At 36.3% G+C, this 15975-nt stretch overlaps 1 annotated feature.

Moving 5' to 3' along the window:
- Positions 3259–3824: an enhancer, noted in NCBI's record as "NANOG hESC enhancer chr3:31183687-31184252 (GRCh37/hg19 assembly coordinates)". NCBI's record gives its function as "activates a minimal SCP1, AML or CMV promoter by ChIP-STARR-seq in naive H9 embryonic stem cells {active_cell/tissue: H9 hESC(naive)}" and the evidence as "EXISTENCE:reporter gene assay evidence [ECO:0000049][PMID:30033119]".

Raw genomic sequence — 15975 nt, 5'->3', positions numbered from 1 at the left:
AATAGAAACAACAAAAAGTTAAGAAGCAGGGTGATGAAATTAAGACATAGAGTTTTACTCATTTTCTTTTTGCTTGTATGTTTGTTTGTGCAAAGGGCATTAAGTTGTTATCAGGTTAAAATAATGGGTTATAAGATAGTATTTGCAAGCCTCATGGTAACTTCAAACCAAAAAACAATGGAGACACAAAAAATGAAAAGCAAGAAACAAAATCATATCACCAGAGAAAATCACCTTCACTAACAGAAGACAGGAGAGAAAGGAAGAAGAAAGAGAAGGCCACAAAACAACCGAAAACAAATAACAAAATGGCAGGAGTAAGTCCTTACTTATCAATAATAACATTGAATATAAATGGGCTAAACTCTTCTATGAAAAGGCATAGAGTGGCTGAATGGATGAAAAAATAAGACCCATTGATCTGTTAGAAACACACCTCACCTATAAAAACACACATAGACTGAAAATAAAGGAATAGAAAAAGATATTCCATGACAATGGAAACCAAAAGCCGAATTTGCTGTACTTACATCAGACAAAATAGATTTCAAGACCAAAACTATAAGAAGAGACAAATAAGGTCATTGTATAATGAGGAAGGGGTCAGTTCAGCAAGAAAATATAACAATTGTGAATACATAAGCACCCAACACTGGAGCACCCAGAAATATATATAAAAATATTATTAGAGATAAAGAGAGAGAGGTAGACCCTTATACAATAATAGCTGGAGACTTCATTACTCCACTTTCAGCATTGGACAGCTCTTCCAGACAGAAAATAAACAAAAAAACAATGGGCTTCGTCTGCATTATAGACCAAATGGATCTAATAAATATTTACAGAACATTTCATCTAATGGCTACAGAATACACATTCTTTTCCTCAGCACATGGATCATTCTCAAGGATAGACCATATGTCAGATCACAATACAAGTCTTAACACATTCAAAAATGTTGAAATAATATCAAGCATCTTCTCTGACCACAATGGAATAAAATTAGTAATCAATAACAAGAGGAATTTTGGAAACTATACAAATACATGGAAACTAAACAATATGTTCTTGAATGACCAGTGAGTCAATGAAGAAATTAAGAAAGAATTTGAAAAAAATTTTGAAACAAATGAAAATAGAAACACAACATACCTAAACCTATAGAATACAGGGAAAACAGAACTAAGAGGGAATGTTATAGTTATAAGTGTCTATATCAAAAAGAGGAAAAACTTCAAATAAACAATATAACTGTGCATTTTAAAGAACTAAAAAAGTAAGAGCCAACCAAATAAAAAATTAGAAGAAAAGAAATAATAAATATCAGAGCAGAAATAAATGAATTTGAAATGAAGTCAACACTACAAAAAAAAATCAATAAAACAAAAAGATGTTTTTTTGAAAATTTAAACACATTGGCAAACCTTTAGCCAGACTAAGAAAAAAACGAAAGAAGATCCAATTAAATAAAATCAGAAACGAAAAAGGAGACATTACAACTGATACTGCAGAAATTCAAAGGGTCATTAGTAGTTACTGTGAGCAATTGTATGCCAATAAACTGGAAAATCTAGAAGAAATGGGCAAATTCCTAGACACATACATCCTACCAAGATTGAACCAGGAAGAAACCCAAAACCTGACAGACCAATAGCAAGTAACAAGATAAATACCTGACAAAGAAGTGGTATCTAGGCTATATGAAGAATGCCTGTAATTTAATGATAAAAGGCAAACAGCGATGTCACAAACATGTGACAGCCATGTCACAAAAAGGATACTGAATTGCCAATAAGCACATGGAAAAGTACTGAACATAATTATTCATCAAATAAATGCCCATTAAAACCACATTCATCAGAATGGCTAAAATTAGGCAAGCCACAGTGGCTCACATTTGTAATCCAAGCACTTTGGGAGGTGAAGGCAGGAGTACTGCTTGAGACTAGGGGTTTGAGACAAGCCTGGGCAGCAAAGCAAAAGACCATCTCTCCAAAAAACTTCAGAAAATTAGCTGGGCATGGTTGCCTGTGCCTGTAGTGCAGCTACTTGGGAGGCTGAGGTGGGAGAATGACTTGAGTCTGGGAAGTCAAGGCCACAGTGAGCTGTGATTATGCTTGCACTCCAGCCTGGGGGACAGAGCAAGGCCCTGTCTCAAACAAACAAACAAACAAATGCTAAAATTAAAATAACTGACCGTAAAAAGTGTTGGTGATGCGGAGCAACCACAAAATGCTGGGGGTATAAAATAGTACAACCATTTTGGAAAAGATCTGACAGTTTCTTATCAAATGAAACCCTTAACTAAATACTTAATCCTCTGACAGAACAGTTTTACTGTTAGGTATTTACCCAGGAGAAATTAAATATCTTCACAAAAAGACATGTAAGAATGTTCAATTTTAATCACAATAACTCTAAACTGGAAACAGCCCAGGTATCCCCATCAATATGAGAATAATCAAACTATGGTATATCCATACGACAAATCACTATTCAACAATAAAATGGAATGAGCTACTGATACAGGCAACAATATGAATAATTCTAAGAATGTTATTTTGAGTAAAAGAAATCTTATACAATAAAGTATATATTGTCTGGTTCTGTGTACATAAAGTTCTAGAATAGGCAAATTTTTCTATGGTGAAAATATCAGAACAGTGGTTGACTGTGATGGGGGGCAAGAGTTGGTGAGGAAGGGTCATGTTCTACATCTTGATAAAAGTTTGGTTTACAAATGTGTATGCATTTGTCAAATTTGATGCACGTGCAGTTAGGATTTATGCATTTAATTGCATGCATTACATGTATTCATGTGCATTTTACCCCAAATGAAAAACGTGCAAAAAACTACTCAATTCAATTTAATAATATGCATACTAATGTTGATTTTAAAAAGTCAAACTCTGTAAAATATATGAAGAGTTTGATTCTAAGCCAAATATGAGTGATCGTGGCCCAGGACACAGCCTCAAGAGGTCCTGACAAACAGTGCCCTAAGTAGTTGGGTTACAGCTTGGTTTTATACATTTTAGAGAGACAGAAGTTACAGGTCAAAACATAAATCAATACATGTAAGGTATTCATTGGTTTGGCTTAGAAAGGTGGGACATCTGGAAGCAGGGGCGCTTGCAGGTCATAGGTAGACTCCAAGATTTTCTGATTGGCAATTGGTTGAAAAATTAAGCTTTGCTTAAAGAGTGAAGGCAGCAGAAAGAAATGCTTCAGTTAAAATAAGGGGGATTGTGGAAGCCAGGGTTCTTGTTATGTAGATGAAGCCTCCAGGTAGCAGGCTTCGGAGGGAATAGATGGTAAATATCTCCTATGGGACCCAAAAAGCTGTCAGACTCTTAGTTCAATCTCTTCTGGGTCAAGAAAAAGCCTGGAAAAGGAACGGGATTCTTTACAAATTGTGAATTTCCTCCACAAGAGATGGCTTTGCAGGGCCATTTCAAAATATGCCAAAGAAATATATTTTGGGGTAAAATACTTTGATTTCCTTTAGGGCCTACTATCTTTCAAGTAATGTTATACCAGGGTCAGGTTGGAGTTGGGTATCTTATTGCTACAGAGTCTGTTTTGTCAGTCCTACTATCTGATCTCTATTTTAATGTTAATGCTGGTCAATTGTGCCTAAACTCCAAAGGGAGAGAGTGTAATAAGGCATGTCCCACCTCCCTTCCCATTATGGTCTGAACTAGTTTTTCAGGTTTTTCACTCCTTGGACAAGTGGGTGTGTCTGTTCAGTTAGCTAAGGGACTTAGAATTTGATTTTTGGTTTACATTAACATATGAAAGGGGGATACACACTGAGTTTGAAATTTACTTTGAAATGCAAATTAAGATTGATGAATATAGAGAGACAGAGGGGTAGACATATGATAAATAAAGCCTAGTAAAATATTAGTGGTAGGTTCTGGGTGGTGGGTATGTGAGTGCTTGCTGTAAAATTCTTTCAACTTAGCTGTTCTAATAGTTTGTTCATTCACTTGAGTTTCCTATGTTATTGATCATATAATTTCCAAATGATGACTACTTGTTTTCTCTTCCAGTCTTAACAGCACCTCCAGTATCATGTTGCACAACAGTGATGATAGCAGGTGTGGTGGATGCTTTGGATTCGTTTGCTAAGCATCTTTTCCAACCTCACTCTGATGTGTTTATTGGAGGAGGTTCAGCAAATGAAGCAGATATTTTGCTGGCGTGGATTTTAGAAGAGTGACATGTTGCATTATTGCAGAAACTTTCTTGTGAAGCCCAAATTTCTGAGATGGTTTCAGTTAATTTAGAAAGTTTATTTTGCCAAAGTTGAGGACACGCGCCCGTGACATGGCCTTAGGAAGTCCTGACAACATGTGCCCAAGGTGGTCGGGGCACAGCTTGGTTTTATACTTTTTATGACATCAATCAATATGTGTAAGAAGTACATTGGTTTGGTCTAGAAAGGCAGGGACAACTTGAAGGAGGGAGGGAGCTTCCAGGTCACAGGTAGGTGAGAGACAAGTGGTTGCATTCTTTTGAGTTTCTTGTAAGCCTTTACAAAGGAGGCAATCATACATGCATCTGTCTCAGCAGAGGGATGATTTTAACAGAGAAGGAGGCAGGTTTGCCCTGAGCAGTTCCCATCTTGACTTTTCCCTTTAGCATAGTAATTTTGGGGCTCCAAGATTTTCCTTTCACATTGTTCAATAGGCAGGTACAGATAATTTATATCTCTCATTTTGAAAAAGTATGTAATATATATGTAAGCTACATTGCATAATAATAAACACATGTGCTGTACTCACAACCCAAGTGAAGAATTAGAAATACTATCAACACTATTGAATCTGCCTGTGTATATTTCCATGCTTTCTCACTCTGCCACATGCCGCATGCCCCAGAGATAATCACTATTTTGAATTTTGTTTATAAGACCCTTTGCTTATTTTTTAGATACTATTATCACATATGGATATGAGCTTGTTTGTGGGCTGACATTGTGTATGTCATTGCTTGCTTTCATATGCCTATAAAGGTATTATATTGTATTAAGTCTTCTAGTTCTTGCTTTTTTCTCTTAACAGTATGTTTCTAAGATTTATTCCTATAGTTATTTATATCTGTAGTTCATTTAATTTTTAATGCTGTCACATTAGAAATAGTGTGAATATTCTGCAATTTATCCAATCTCTTATTTGCAAACAGTTTTAGCTATTCCCTTATTTGCTACAATACTGTTATGAACATGCTAGTTACTGTATCCTGTTATACATGTGCAAGAGTTTCCCTAGGGTATGACCAACCAAGGAATAACTGTGTCTTCAGATATGTGAATTCTCAAATTTACAAGAGAGGGCCAAATTGCTTGCCACAGTCTCTCTATTTACCCTCTGTCAAAAAGTGCATGAGTTTTCATGATTCATCTCCTTTAGGACACTTATCAGATTTCCTAATTTTTGCCAATCCACTCTAAAATGATATCTTATGATCTTAATTTGTATTTCCTTCATTGGTAATGAACATTTTTTTCTTGTGTTTATTTGCTATTTGTAATTCTTTTCTGTATGAAGTATCTGTCTTTTGTCCATTTAAATTTTTTGTTTTTTTAATCACTTTGAATAATTCTTTTTGTATTCTAAATATTATTTCTTTGTCATATGTATGTTGCAATATTTTCTCCTGCTTTGTGCTTGTCTTTATGTACTTTTAGTGTTTTATGATGAATGGATATTAATTTTAATATATAATTTGTCAATGCTTTTGCTTATGTTTATTGAGTTTTGTGATTTTAAGATTTTTTTCCTATCTTGGATCACATTCTATGAATAAAATTGGCTTGTCATTTTCATGTTCTTTCCTAGTTTCGGTGACAAAGTTATTTTGCTTTCTTAGAATGGATGGGGACTAATATTTCATCTGTAAGTCTCTAGAAGAGTTTGTGTATTTTGGAACCATTTATTTGAAAATTTGATAGAACCTGACTGAAAAATGACTTCCCTGTGTACAGATTTTTAATTATTGGTTCTATTTTCTCATACAATTTAGGTTATATTTCTTCTTGAATCAGTACTGTTATATTTTTCTAGTAAGTGTCCATTTTATCTGTTGTCAAATTCATTGTAATACAAATTGTTTATAATGTTATTTTATTCCTTTTTACATCTGTGTGGAATCTGTTCATATGCCCTTCTTTTCATTCCTAATATTATTTATTTTTCTCTCCCTTCTTCTTCCCATCCCTCTACCCCTGGCTAATGATTACTAGGCTTTTGTCTGTCTCAATAGACTTTTCAAAGAACCAGCTTTGGCTTTTTGATCCTGTTCTCTGATCTGCTCTTATTTTATGTTCTTCTTCTTCGTTTTTTTTTTTTTTTTTTTTTTTTTACTTTTTGGGTTCATTTTGTTTTCCTCTAAATTCTTAAATTGGATGTCTAAAAAATTAACCTCCAGCTTTTTTCCCCCAATACAAGCATTTAGAGCTATAAATTTCTTTCCAGATATCAATTTTGCCTCAATGTACAAGTTTTGATAGATTTAATTTTAATTTAAATTTACATATAAATATTTTTAAACTTCCATTATAATTTTGTAATCCTCTTTATTTTTATCTTTAGTTTTTGTTTTATTAACTTATCTGCTCTTTTCTTTATCCTCCTCTTCCTTTATTTTGATTTATCCTGGTGTTCTCTTTCTAAATTTTTAGCTCAATAAATTTCAGTCTCTATTGCTGTTATACCTATTCAAGGCTGTATATTCTTCCTGAAATATCACTTTTGCAGTTTTTCACAAATTCATCCCCGTAGTTCCTCATATTCCAAATTTTCACTGTATGAATTTGTGCTACGTGAATGGAAAGAGCAACTAATTTTTTTTCTTTTTAGATAGATCTGGAGACTCTCACATTTTCTCATCTGCAAAATGGGGTTTTTGTCTGTTAAGGCTCTTTCAATTCCATAAGACAAGAAACTCAGTTCCAATCTATTTAATAGAAAGGGAGGCTGGGCACACTTCGTGCCTCCCTTGTTTCAGGAGTCATGCCTGTAATTCCAGAACTTTGGGAGGCCAAGGTGGGAGGATTGAGGCCAGGAGTTCAAGACCAGCCTGGGCAACATAGGCAGACCATGACTTTACAAAAATTAAAAAAAAAAAAAAAAAGCCAAGTGTGGTGGCACATGCCTATAGTCCTAGCTACTCAGCTACTCAGGAGGCTGAGGTGGGAGGATAACTTGAGCACAGGAGTTCAAAGCTGCAATGAGCTATGATTATACCACTGCACACCAGCCTGAGCAACAGAGTGAGACCCTACCTAAAAGAAAAAAAAAAAAGTGGGGACGGTGGGAATGTAGTGACTCATGTAACTTAAGAGGTCAGGGATATGTATAATTTAAGAGTATCTTTCGGATTGGCTAAAACAAGGTGAACAAAGTCTCCAGTCTCTATTTTTTGTTTTTCCATTTCTTTTCTGTGATTCCTTTGTGTTGTCTGGAATCTCAGGCTTCCCATAGGAAGATTGTCATAGTAGCTTCCATCTAGAGACAAAGCAGCCAACTTGCAACACCATGGTGTCAAACATGAAGATGAAAACCACAAAATAAGAACATCCCAACAGAAAGAAGCATAGGTTCCTGATTGTATCATGATGCTGCCTCATACTTATGCTTCTATAAGTATAGAAGCATACTCTATGCTCACTTTTTAAGAGTTATTACATGTAAGATTTTGTTTCTTCTTGCCAAATGCAGTCCTAACTGAAAGCATTTGAAAAGCTCATAATGCAGAGACTCGCCCAAACCAAATGCTCAATGAATCATAGCAATTACCACTTCAACGCTCCCTAGGAGTGCTATTTTCTTAGAGGGTATAAACCTTACTATGCAGCTTACCAAACCACACTATGTGGTCGCTATCTATCAATATTTTATTTTTTGGACTTCCATAAGGTCAAATCCCTCTTCTGAAATCAGATTCCTGCCTAGGAGAGGAAAACAAGGATTTGGGAATTTAAAAGATGCGTGTGACTTAGATTTTCTCCCCAAAGAAAAGATTGTGTCCCATGGAGCAATGTTTGAGCAGGTATGAATGGGTCTGGGGAAAGCTGATGAGTAATTCCATTTTACTGGCCTCTAGGTCATTTCAATTGTGTTCCATAAGGCACAGAGAAGACAGCCAAAGGAAAATTCAGGGTTGCCACAGCTTATGTAGTTTCCATGTCTAATCAATGAGTCTGCAGCTCATATGAATGAGAAATTTTAAATTGATTACACAGCAGTAAATGAGTACTTTACTGTCTTTTCTGTGTGAAAAATGGCTATGTTCATCCCGTCAAGTGGAATAAGATGATTACATGCACTATTGTTTTATAATAGTTATCCCATCAATAAAACATGATTTCACGTCTTTCAAGGGGAGCTAAAGTGCTAATATTTATTTTGAAATAAAAAGGAAACATTTATAAAAGCTTCCTATTTAAAGTCCTCTAAACCATTTAAATAATAAGAATAGTATTTCTAAATTTACCTTTTGGTAAAGTTATAGCTAACATAAAGCTGAAAAGATAAATAATAGTTTAGTTAAAAGGAGCAGAAAAAATATTGAATCAGAAACTCCTTCCCTCTCCCTATTCACACTGTGATAGATTGCGAAAAGGGTTTTGTTCTTTAACCGCCTTCCAGCATTCATGCCCTTTTCAAGGTGACATTATCATCTCTTCCATCAACAGTGAGGTCTAGAGACTGCCTGTGGCAATTTTAAAGTACAGTCCCCAGATTCTTTGACACTCCTTTATTGAGAGATGGGTTTATGTTTCCTCTACTTGAATCTGGGTACTTACTGCTTGACAAAAGGAATGTAGTATAAGTGGCGCTGTACCAGTGTCTGGGCCAAGCCCTAAGAAACTTAACTGTTATTTCCTGTCTCTTGTGATGCTTGCTCTTAGGACCCGGCCATTATCCCCCTGGAGAGTATCACAGGAGAGAAATTTGCCAGCCAGATGATGGAGCCATCTTGGAGGTAGATCTTTCAGCCCTAGTTCAGCTTCCCAGCTGATATCTACTAGAGCAGAGATGAACTTCTGTACCAAGCTCTGCAAAGAGCAGATTTGTGAGCAAAACAAAGGATTGTTGTTTTGAACTACTATGTTTTGAGGTGGTTTGCATAGAAATTGATAGCTGGAATACTGCCCTTGAATATGAGCTATCTGTGTGTTTTACTCTAGCCAATAGAATGGAGGAAGTGATGTTGTGCCAGTTCAGAGCCCATATGTATACTCAAAAGGCCTTGAGAGCTTCTGTTCTCTCTTGGTACCCTACCTTTGGAGACTGTTGGAAGATGAGAGACACGTGGCCAGCTGCTCAGTGACCCAGCCAACAGCCAGCCTATCTGTAGAAATATAAGACCATTCTAGACAAATCAGCCTTCCACCAAATGACCAGAGATGCATGAGCAAGTTAGTCAAGAGCCACAAAGCCTGGCCCAGACTAGAACATCTTGAATGTTTCTCTCACTACAATCATTTTGGCCTTTATCATTAATAGGATGTTGTTGTGGATGGGCAACAGATCACACCAGCAAGTCCCTCTTTCTCCATTTTTACAACAAGTTAAGGCTAAACTCCAACCATGATGCATGTCTGTTAGGAAGTAAGTATTAGCATTGAGACACTAATAGATGACAGATAGATGACAGAATAAGAAACAAGAATGTTTTGGGGTGACAAAGTGTGGTAATAATTCAAAATCATTATTAATACAAAATTGAATTTTAAAAATGGAATATATGAACAATGGAAAGCAATATAGCACTGAAAATGAGTTAACTAAAACCACATGTTATCAATGGGAGAATCTCAAGAATATAATGGTTAGTGAAAATACAACTTGGGCGGCAGAATGAAGTATTTTCCTTTTAGGTATCTAAAGTTTTGCAACAGTTGGCCATGTAATTAGACACAGATATTTGGGTGGGCTACATGGAAAAGGGTATTGATTATCGTTTATTGGAAGTAAAAAAATGGATTTAATCAGTTTTATAAGAGCTGTCAAAAGACAAAATTACAACCACTCCCCCCAAATTAGTTTAAAGATCTAATTGGCTTTTGTTTGTGATTCTAGAATCAGGCAACACGTTATTTAATAAAATAGAATAGTATTCTGCGGGGCATGAGAGAACAGTTGGTTTTTGTAAGGTGGGAACAAGGAAACAGAACAATTTTTTAAAAAGCAGGTTGGTTAACACTGGTTTACTACAGGTTACTTTTCTTGGAAGGGTTAAAGCACAGGGAACTTATGCTGACTCAGGTAGACTTGATTGCTGTGAATCTCTTGTTTTCAGGAAACATTGGTCTGTTTGGACATTTGCTTGCTTTCTTAAAGTTTCAGTCTGATGATGTGGCATTTAGCATTAGTGACCCCATTTCAGTCTGGTCTGGTCTGCTGGGGCCTTAGTGCAGAAGCTCGGTCCAAAACAATGACCTCTCTTAATTTTGTTTAATAGAGCATTTTCAAAGTTTGGTCAAGTTTATATAAAAAATAACATTTAAGCCTAATAAGCTATCTATTACAATCAATAAGCTACTGGCATTTTAACAGACAATAATTCTTGACAACTATGGAGTATATATAAACATATCAATGAATTAGACTTTAGCTTTCATTTAGTTTTATGAAAGAGAAAAGGGAATCATACATTGCTCAGAATTGGGTTGCATAAGATTTTCATAAATGTTACTTAGTATATTCGGAATATACTTGTCCTCTAATTCCATGGACTCGGTTTCTGCTAGTAGGGCATTGTTTACTTCTACCTTAATCAATGCTTTTGGGAACTGGAGCACAATAGGGCAAAAGTGCATAATTATTCTGACACATCCTGAGATTTGCATTACAGAGGCTGCCACAAGGCTTAAAGCTTGATTAATGCTTAGTGGTGAATTTCTTCTGAAATTATGATTTTCACTCTGCCAAATAGCTCTGCAGATTTTCAAGATCTGTGATTACACCAACTGAGGGTCTTTCACTCTGGGAAATGAGTCCTATCCCCACTTGCCTTCTCCCACATCTGGTCTGTGACTATATGCCAGTGCTCTGAAAACTGATCAACAGTGTTCTTTCTTCCTTTACAGTTTTGTTTTTGCGGTGGATTAGATTATATTACTCCCTCCCTGTTAGAGGTGTATACGTCCATACTTTAACATGTGACTTTGCAGTGCTTCTTGCTGTAGGAGGGGTATACCTCCCTTGTCCCCTGACCTGGGGCTTAGATAGGTAACTTACTTTGGCCAGTGGAATACTAGCAAGCATGACATAGCTGAGGTTTGCTTGTGTGGCTGAGCTTGTTCTCTTGCTTGTCATCACCACGAGAAGAATTTGTCCCTAGTAGTCTCTGGACCAGAGGTAGAGCAGATTTGAACCCAACCCACACCTAAAGCAGAACCACCAAACTGACTTGCATACATTTGAGTAAGAAAAATAAATGCTGAAGGTAAGATTTGGGGGTTGTTAAATAGCAAAAACTGACGAATATAAGTTTCAAGTTGGGTCACTCGGAGCTATGTAATTCCGAATAGACCATGATCTGAGAAAGTTTGGTAAATCTCTTCAACAAATAACTATGGCACAGCAATTTTACAACATTAAAATAAATTGAAGACACCTTGTAGACCTAATAAGTATCCAGTTTCCTCTGTTAACACAGCTTTTAATACAGGTAAAATATAGACATGAATTTCTTCTTAGATGCTCACAGGCATTCTGTTTCTTTTCTGTTGTCGATGTGTAATTTTCAAAGAGTTAAAAGCATAATTGCCATGCAAATGTAGAACGTCTACTTGTCAGCAATTTAGTCAACCTATTAATGAGAGAACAAGTGAGATAGTAAAACTGGTTCCAAGAATATATGAGGAACAGTTATTTCTAGACACTAGCAAAAAAAAATGTTAAAATAAGATTGCTAGGCTATATAGAAAACTGGTTAATGTTCTATGGGGCAATAAACATTAACTTTTAAGGTTCTCTTTTCTAGTGGAAGATGGAAGTAAATGACAACAAGCAAAATGAGAAGAAACAAAGGCTACTGTTCACAGTTTGCTGAGCAAGGGAGTCAGCCACTATTACTTGTATTTTGGAAGAGACTCAAAGGCAGGCAGAGGAAAAATCTTATTTATAGTGGTAAAAAGGGAAGGCTTTGGGGGTACTCTGATTGAAGGCTGCTGTCATGGGGGAGCTGAAGGCAGGCTAACTAGAAATGGTGCATCCCATGTGATTGGTTGGGATGCATATTTGGCTTTCTCTGGCTAGTACTAAGTTGAAAACAGAAACAGAAATTAAAGAAACTGTCAGTTATTAATCTAGTCCTACCCATTTTGGGCCAATTGTTACAGGGGCTATTTTTTGGCTTCCTGGATGGTTACTAGAGATGGTGGTCTGATTTCCTGTAAATCAGGCTGGCTATAAGTCAGAAGTAGGCTGGCTTCCTATAGATTATGGGTTGGTTTCCGGGGATGATTTTTGCAGGCTATGGATCAGAGGTCTATTTTTATATATGGTCTGGCAACTTTCTATTTGTATATTCAATCTTTCAGTACAAAATTCTACAAATTAACATATGTGTAGTAAGTCAAAAACAGATACATTCTCCTAGAAAATTAAACAATCCTTTGTGTAGGCCTATTCAGCAAAATTCTAGTATGGCATTGAGAAAACACCCTACTTTCCCTTTACCTTATTTCCAAGTTTTTGATAATGTTTTACCACTGTATATTAGAGAAGGATAAATATAGAGGTTGTTAGAAATTCATACAATTCTGGAGAACATAGACACTAGATAAGAACTGGACAGAAGCACTGTAATTATTTCAGAATACATTTAATCCAGGAGGAAAAGGCAGTATTAGAAAGATCTATGTTGGGCAGAGTTTGAACAGCATTCTTCAATCTGCTTTACCAAGCATAAAACTTGTATTTTTAAATCTTTGTCTAATTTACTTCTTTAATTTATTTCTCAGTTGGTTCACACTTCAAGAATTGAAGAGACAGATGTTGTCTCTTTTTCTCCTCACATCTTAACACTAATTACTTCCTACAAGGTATCATTCAATAAACCAGAAAAGTAAGATCAATATCACAGATGCTCTTGACCAATGATACAAGGGAAACTGGACACATAAACCTTATCTTTTGCCCTTCTCTCCCCCATCAGAGTAGCACATGAGACAACTGTACTCAGCTTTGTAAATTATTAGCCAAATTTCTTAAAATTCTTAAATTCCTTACTGGCAGGTGGCTACAATCTACTGACGCATGTGTGTTTGAGAAATAGACATTTTTCTTTTCCAAAAATGTATAAAATAAAAATCCTTCCATGCCATCTTTTGGGTGTTTCTGGCATTATGTTATTTGTCTTTACATATATAGTTGTTAATTTTGGTAGGTGTCTAATTATGGACCACTATTTCATAAGACAATGGGACAGTATTGTTAATGGGAAACATCTTCAAAATATAATATTAACTTTAAATACAAATTTAATTAACTGGTCTCAACCATGAGGAAAAAGTCTATATTTATAATTCAAATTTTATTTAAACTCTACCTTCTCAAGTACCGTTGTTATGCAGCTTACTCATTTCTACAGTGCAATTTATAACAAAAATATCAATCACCTGGTTATCCACTAGATGTCAGTCCATCCTCACACTGAGGTAACAGGTAGACTATTCATCTGGTGACAAAAAAAAAAATCTGAGAAGTCATATACTTGCCTCCCTCCCAGTGGCATGAGGGACACCACAAGCAGGCCAACTTTCCATTCTTTTTTGTGTAATATAGGCTCAGATTGCCTTTATCATTGGCTAACTGACATTGGCAAACTGTGGTCTCAATAATCTCTTGCTTCCCTCTCATTAAACATGGCAGGCTCCAACTGAATTTGAAGGGAGTAATCAATGCTTTGTTTGGCTGTGTTAAATTCATGACGCAGAATGGAACTGAATGCCAGGATCATACGATACAAAAATAAATGTGTCTCTCAATCATGTGGTTCATTTTTAATGACCCCCAGAATGGAACATTACACACCCATTGACTGTAACCATACTGCCTGGCATGACTTTAGCTGCCAGCATCCTCAACAGCATCCTCCCAACAAAGGCTCAGGGTATATTTAGGATGCACAAAATTTATAGTATAATAGTTCATATGCTCTTAACTTCATATGAGCAAGTATTTTAATCAGGATGATCCTGGTGCAGGCTCAGAGGCATTTATGTAGTTGATAATTATGGTTTCAGAAGCTCTTTGCAGGGAACAGTTTACATTGGCAGTCTCTAAATCATATCTAGTTGAGTTAAAGCTACATTTGCCAAAGTGTCCTCTGACAGACACTGGTCCTGTAGGATGTGAATAGATTATAATAAAAGGATTCATAGAGGAGAATTCCATGGAATACTCTGGAAGAAACAGAATCAAACATGTTTCTCTGATGCAGGACTTCCCAGCACTTTTAATAGTGTCATGTGCAAATATCCAAGAAGAGGCTGTAATATGTGGGTTTTCTTTTTGATTTTAGAATAATTATTTTACAGAATATTTTGCCAAAGAAGTTAATTTTGAAAAAAGCAAAAGAGACTTCTGGACTACAAAGAGATACTTAGTCTCATGTTGCCCTTCCACCCTTTCTTACTGTTTTTCTTTCTCTTTCCTTCTGCATCATATATTGAACATATTTTATGTGTCAGGCACTATGCTGGAATAAAGTAATTTAGGTGTCATGCTGCAAAGAACAAAGGGTATTACTAGGGCATACTTTTTCTAGTAATACATAGAAATCCTTGTATCTAGGTACATTTTACATTTGGAAAGTTTCAAGGTCTGCAGCCCACCTAAAATAGGCACTGGCTATTGCCGTTGGACCCATGTTGTATCAGGGAAGGAAGTAGTTCTCTATGCAGTCAAAGGAATTCTTTCAGCTGGATTTGAAATCTTTTAGTGAGGACTTGACAAGAAAAGTGTTTAACCAACAGGAATTTAATGGGAAAAGTTTGGAGTTGTCGGCAGGACAGAGGCAAGTTTTGGAACAGAATTAAGTGATCCAAAGAGCCTGCCTTAAAAAACTACATAAGGGAGAGTATTAGAGGGAAGAAAAGGGTAAAAATGCACACACAGAGCAAAAATGAAGGCATGCCATGGGAATATGCCATGTCCAGTGGAAAGCAGGGCCCTGTGGCTGAAAGGAATATTCTTGGTTTGATACTTCTCTATTGTGAGCAGTACCAAGACACTTTGTAAAGTGCACATCGAGACCTCAATGAGGCAAATTCAGGCTGCTAAATATAGATGCGACAATGCCAAAGGCTGGGCCTCATTTCCCTTGGGAAAGGCATGTGTGGTGGGTACCATCTGCTCTCAAATCTATCAATTTGCCCTAAAGTCGTTGTCCTGGAGATTGAGAATGCCTTCATTCCCATCCATGCTTGATCATCTCTTTTAACAGATTTCTAGCATTTTCTAATAAAAATGCAGAGAAGGCTAGAGGAGAGAGTGTGTGGAGAAGTGAAGTAACATTATTTCTGTTGAGAGAAAATTTAGAAAATGGTTAGGTTATGAGAATGAGCTGCATCAAGTAGAAAAATGAAGATGTGTCCTGAATCTTCAGCTAGAAGCACTGGGCTCTGATAAATACATTTAAGACTTTAACAATCATTCATATGTAGGTTTCACTTCACCAGCTTGAAATACAATATAAAATTACTCTTTAAAAAACTTTTCTTGGGCTGGGTGCAGTGGCTCATGCCTGTAATCCAAGCACTTTGGGAGGCCAAGGCAAGTGGATCACCTGAGGTCAGGAGTTTGAGACCAATCCAGCTAACATGGCAAAACCCCATCTCTACTAAAAATACAAAAAATTAGCCAGGCATGGTGGTGTGTGCCTGTAATCCCAGCCACTCAGGAGGCTGAGGCAGGAGAATCACTTGAACCAGGGTGGCAGAAGTTGTAG

This window comes from Homo sapiens, chromosome 3, assembly GCF_000001405.40.
Source record: "Homo sapiens chromosome 3, GRCh38.p14 Primary Assembly".
NCBI classification, from domain to species: domain Eukaryota; kingdom Metazoa; phylum Chordata; class Mammalia; order Primates; family Hominidae; genus Homo; species Homo sapiens.
This window is presented reverse-complemented; position numbering and strand designations above follow the sequence as displayed.